Source organism: Homo sapiens, chromosome 1 (assembly GCF_000001405.40).
Source record: "Homo sapiens chromosome 1, GRCh38.p14 Primary Assembly".
Taxonomy (NCBI): Eukaryota; Metazoa; Chordata; class Mammalia; order Primates; family Hominidae; genus Homo; species Homo sapiens.
In genome coordinates, this window is record NC_000001.11 from 231,064,020 (window position 1) to 231,070,019 (window position 6,000).

The window sequence follows — 6,000 nt, forward strand, 5'->3', positions numbered from 1 at the left end:
GCCCTTGTGTGAAAAAAATGCAGCTTCTCTAATCAGTGTTTTCTGAAAGTGAACTCTTTATCTTCTCTCATGGTGAGATTAAGTTTCTTTCGGAAGAAAGCAGAAGGAAATTTAATTTGCTTGCTCTCCTCTTTTTGATTTGTTTCCTACAGAAAAACCTAGTGAGTTGATTTTGAAAAAGACTTACACAATTATGGTTCCCTGGATTCTAACATATTTTCTCCTGCATATGGTTTCTAACTTTGGATTGCTTTCTTCTTTCTTTCTTTCTTTCTTTTTGACAGAGTCTCACTCTGTCACCCAGGCTGGAGTGCAGTAGTGCAATCTCGGCTCACTGCAACCTCCGCCTCTCGGATTCAAGCGATTCTCCTGCCTCAGCCTCCTGAGTAGCTGGGACTACAGGTGCGTGCCACCACACCCAGCTGATTTTTGTATTTATAGTAGAGACAGGGTTTCTCCATGTTGGCCATGGTGATCTCGAACTCCTGACCTCAGGTGAGCCACCTGCCTTGGCCTCCCAAAGTGCTGCAATTACAGGTGTGAGCACCGTGCCCAACCTTCTTTTTTTTTCTTCTTTTTCCTCTCCATCTGTCCCTCCTTCCCTCCCTCCCTCCTTTCCTTTCTTCCTCCCTTCTCCTTCCCTCCTTCCTTCTTTCCCTTCCTCCCTTCCTTCCCTCCTTTTCTTTGGGAGCAGAGGCTATCTTTAACATCCCTACACAGAGATATAAGATCCACTCTCCTGCTCAGCATCTTGCTACATTGTCTGTTAACCTCAATCTTGCCCATAAATTCTATCCAGTGCTGCAGTACCTTAAAGTAGAGTTGGGCTGTGACGTGGAGGAATCCTTGGCCCACCCAAAGTCACAAAAATCATTCATCCACAGATAGTAAAGTAGCATGAGGTGGAGAGGTGGCTGCCAAGAATATTTATCGAGCACCCCTCTGACCATCCTCTCTACGTGACCTCTTACCAGCTAATGTGATGGAGCAGTGTTCTGTTCTAATCGGTGCTAACACCCTTAACTGATTTCTAAGGCCAAATTGTTCTCCTATTTGGGGCCCAGGTCATGTCAGCCTTTTTCAGTCACCCCTGAACCACTCTCAAGGATTATTGGGGAATTTCTCTTCCTCTGATAATCTGTCCTATCACCCAGCAAAGGCGAGTTGTGGAGAAAAAGCCCCCAGGGGCCAGGCGCGGTGGCTCACGCCTGTAATCCCAGCACTTTGGGAAGCTGAGGCAGGCAGATCACAAGGTCAGGAGATTGAGACCATCCTGGCCAACATGGTGAAACCCCGTCTCTACTAAAAATACAAAAATTAGCCAGGCATAGTGGTGGGCACCTGTAGTCCCAGCTACTTGGGAGGCCGAGGCAGAAGAATCACTCAAACCCGGGAGGCGGAGGTTGCAGTGAGCTGAGATTGCGCTACTGCACTCCAGCCTGGGTGACAGAGCAAGACTCTGTCTAAAAAAAAAAAAAAAAGAAAAGAAAAAGCCCCAGGGATTGCCCGCCCCTAGCTCCCTGAAGAATAGGCGTGCAAAGGTGAAACAGAAGAAAATCCTACAACTATGGTGAGCGGACCCAAGAGGAAAGGGTGTGGGTCAACTGTTGTGCCTAAGAACAAAGAAAACAGCTGGGGTCTGAGGGGCAGTTGGTTGTTATCAGTTCTTCTAGAGGAACTGTTTTTTCCGGGAGGTGCTGGGATGGGCGTGGACGTGGAGGGACCAGCTTGAAAAGCAACTCCTTACAATCATACCCATCTTGGTTTGAACTCTCCTCCAACCACTGGCTGACAGTGAGACTGCAGACATCTCATCCCAAAGTGAAAGCCACACTATCGTATAGGGGTAAACGTAACTCTTCACACCCACCATCCTGTTACCAGGGTAGCTCTGATGAAATAACTGGGAAAGTTCCGTTTCCCTACTGTTTTTCTTTAGTGCCTTTATCTATAGACACAATTGCTTAAAGAAACCAGATGGCCTAGGATGCTGCCAGCACTTCTTGACCCTTAACCAAACACCAGAGGAAGATAAGATCCAGGAGAAACCGGTGCAAATTACAACAGGCAACCCCTCTTGTCTTTAGTTGATTAACATAGCGTTATAATGCTAAAACCCCCTCCCCTAAGAGAAGATCACCACTATTTGGTGTACATGCAATGTATGAAGAAGCATGTTTAGGAAGCATGCCCATGTGTCTGGAGTCTCACCCTGCACATGTTAACATACCTCTCCCACTCCACACCCAGTCCTTAAAAACCCTGCCTCCTGTTGCTCAGGGAAAGGATGCCTTTGGAATGAGAGCTTCCCTTCTCCTTTCTCTGGCCGATAAATAAAACCCAATTGCCTTTTCCAATTAGATGTCCTTTCTTTGCAACTGATGGGAAATTGGGAAAGAACTCAGTTTGCTGATGACAACCCCACCCTCCACACACATCAATGCATCTGAACCTAAGTAGGTGCTGTGAGTACTGAGAATGCTGGTGAAGACTGGAGAGCCTGACTGTGGATCAAAGGCCACAGCCACTCTCGGGGAACAAGGCCCAGGGAGACCCCTACACCTTCCCTATCACTATAGATACCAGAGCTTTGCAAGTCCACCTGACACATACAGCTGACACAAGCAACTGTTTGTCCACTCAAAACATACACCCCTAGGGCTAGAGAGCAGCAGCAGGAGGGCTTTCAAGGGAGAATACCAGAATGTCTAGTAGGTACTTGCTCAGGTAAATTTGGAGGGGCCTAAGGTCAAATATGATTCCTCCATCTGGCACAGAAGCTGGGACTCTTGATGGCAGCAGCATCCTAATCACAGAGGTTACACCAAGAGAGAGAACATAGTCTTTGCATGTGTCTCATGTCAACCGAAGAATAACTAGGTTCCTATGTTTGGAAAGGAGAGCTTCGTTTCTCATAAAGGGTTGCAGACTGCAAGGTGGCCATTCTGACAGGCTGGGAAGCGTAGCCTCCAGTCAGAAGCCAGAAACAAACACTTCAAGGGAAGGGCAAAGGGAACAGGAATCTAAGCTGGGCAGGGTGGCCTAACATACATATTTAATAAGCTAAAGGAGGAGACGTGAATATTCATAAAAAGAGCAGTGTACACTACACAGTTGAGCTCCATGCCCCTTTATGGGTCCCATGCATAAAAAGGCAACATTAGCATGATCCGAAGGGGCAGCTTTCAGTCCTCTGACATCAAAAGGTGAAGCAGAGGGCATGAAAACCTGTACTGTGCATTCTCCGAAAACTGGCCAGAGCCAATCCATGGTAGGTGATCTCTTATCAGGCAAAAGAGGAGAAGCAGTGTCCAGCAGCTGGTTGATCTCAGTGGTAGAGTCTTTTGAAAGGGCTGGTTTCTGTTCAGCCCTCAGGGAAAAAAGCTTCATTGCAGTTATTGAGGGAGAGGGTATAGCAATGTGTGTCTGATCTGCTATCCCATCACAGCTGAGAACTCAGTTTTCAAGGTTACTCTGGGCTTCCCATGGCCAAGCAAAGGTCCATTCAGTTAGGTGGGGGGCTTAGAATTTTTTTTTTTTTTTTTTTTGAGACAGGGTCTTGTTCTGTCACTCAGACTGGGGTGCAGTGGCATGATCGCAGCTCACTGCAAACTCTATCTTCTGGGTTCAAGAGATTCTCCTGCCTCAGCCCCCTGAGTAGCTGGAACTATAGGTGCATGCTACCATGCCCAGCTAATTTTTGTAATTTTTGTAGAGACAGGGTTTTTCCATGTTGTCCAGGCTGGTCTCAAACTCCTGAGCTCAGGTGATCCGCACATCTCCACCTCCCAAAGTGCTAGGATTACAGGTGTGAGCCACTGCTCGGGGCCAAGGCTTAGAATTTTATTTTTAGTTGACACTTTCATCTGACTTACTGTTGAACTAAACCAGAGGAGGTTCAGGGCTTGCAAGCTGACTGTTGCGGTCTTTCATCACTGGGGTGGGCTGGTAGGGGCAGGACAAAATTTGAAGGCCCCAGAAAGACCTCTGCTTTGCAAACCCTGATGTTATAGCCCTCATTTGTATCCTTCTGTGTGCTCTCTGTGGATTAGGGTCTAGACAGGAGGTAGCACACTGATTAGTTGGGAGCCCCAAATCCCCATGATGGAGGTGTCGTTTCCTACTGCAGTCATTTTTTGTGTTGTTGTTGTTGCTTGTTTGTTTGTTTTGAGATGGAGTCTCACTCTGTCACCTAGGCTGGAGTGCAGTGGCGCAATCTCAGCTCACTGCAACCTCCACTGCCTGGGTTCATGCGATTCTCCTGCCTCAGCCTCCCAAGTAGCTGGGATTACAGGCGTGTGCCACCATGCTCGGCTATTTTTTTTTTTTTTTTTTTTTTTTGTATTTTTAGTAGAGACGGGGTTTCACCGTGTTAGCCAGGATGGTCTCAATCTCCTGACCTCATGATCCGCCCACCTTGGCCTCCCAAAGTGCTGTGATTACAACTGTGAGCCACTGCGCCTGGCCTGCAGTCCTTTTTACACTGTGTTCACAGAAGCCCCCGATGCTCTCAGGAGCCCCTCCAGGGCACCCAGGCAGAGGAAGTGAGGATGTGGCATAGCAGAGCTCTGCACTGACGCCCTCCGTCTGCTTCAACAGAGCAGACACAATTTCTTCTACTTTCTGCATTTATTGGGTTTCTGGGTAGGATTTTATTTCAATAAAAGCTTATTAGTTAAGGTTCTTTGGCTGAAAGCTATAGAAACCAACTCAGGCAAATAAGCAAAGAGGATTTATTGGAAGTGTGTAGGGCTGGGGTGTTTTCCAAAACCAACAACCAATTTTCTGATTTTTCTGGACACTAGTTGGGTGTTCTACAATTCAATTTCATTTTCACACAAACTACCCAGAGTTAGCACAGACCTCACGGCTTAGGGGCTCAGTGCCGCAAGACACCTCCCCACCTCAGACAAAGCCAGCTGCAAATCCCAGGCCTCCTGAGCTTCTGACCTACCAGCTATAAATCAGGGGTTTCCATGACACTCTCCTTGAGTTCAATGATTTGTTAGAATACCTCGTGTAACTCAGAAACTCTTAGTACTACTGTTTTTTTGTTTTTTGTTTGTTTGTTTGTTTGTTTGTTTGTTTGTTTAAAAAAAGCATACAGCCGGGCACAGTGGCTCACACCTTTAATCCCTGCACTTTGGGAGACCGAGGTGGGTGGATCACCTGAGGTCAGGAGTTCGTGACCAGCCTGGCCAACAAGGTGAAACCTCGTCTCCACTAAAAATACAAAAAAAAATTAGCCAGGCATGGTGGCACGTGCCTGTAATCCCAGCTATTCAGGAGGCTGAGGCAGGAGAATCGCTTGAACCTGGGAGGCGGAGGTTGCAGCGAGCTGAGATCAGGCCCATTGCACTCTAGCCTCGGTGACAAAGCAAGACCTTGTCTCAAAAAAAAAAAAAAAAAGCATACAACTCAGGAACAGCCAGATGGAAGAGATGCATCAGGCAAGGTGTGGAGGGTGCACGCAGAGCTTCCATGGCCTCTCCAGCTGCACCTTGCTCCCTCCCGACACCTTGATATGTTAATCAGCACAGCAGCTCATCAAATCTTATTCAAGAGTTTAAAATGGTGCTTAATCTCCAGCTCCTCCGCTTCCTGGGGCCAGTGAGTGGGGCCAAAAGTGCTGACCCTCTAATCACTTGATTTTTTGGTAAACCAGCCCACTCTGAGGGTATCTAGGGGCCCCACCCTAGTCACCGCATTCGCATAAACTCCGGCATGATCAAAGGTACTCTTTGTTGTAAACCAGCACAGCCACTGAGGAAAACAGTGAGGAGAGGTTCCTCAGAAAAACGAAAAATAGATTCACCATGTGATCTAGCAGCCCCCTTGGGTACATACCCAAAAGAAAGGAACTCAGTGTGTCTAAAAGATATCTGCAAACCATGTTTATTGCAGAGCTACTCACAACAGCCAGGATATGAAAGCAACCGCAGTGTCCATCGGTGGATGAATGGGTAATGAAAATGCGGTGTATATACACAATGGAATATT

General features: G+C 47.3%; 1 annotated feature.

The window, feature by feature from the left end:
• Positions 1,576 to 2,046: a transcriptional cis regulatory region, noted in NCBI's record as "candidate enhancer chr1.12446 targeted for multiplex CRISPR interference". NCBI's record gives its function as "positively regulates FAM89A gene expression in K562 cells {active_cell/tissue: K562}" and the evidence as "EXISTENCE:mutant phenotype evidence [ECO:0000015][PMID:30612741]".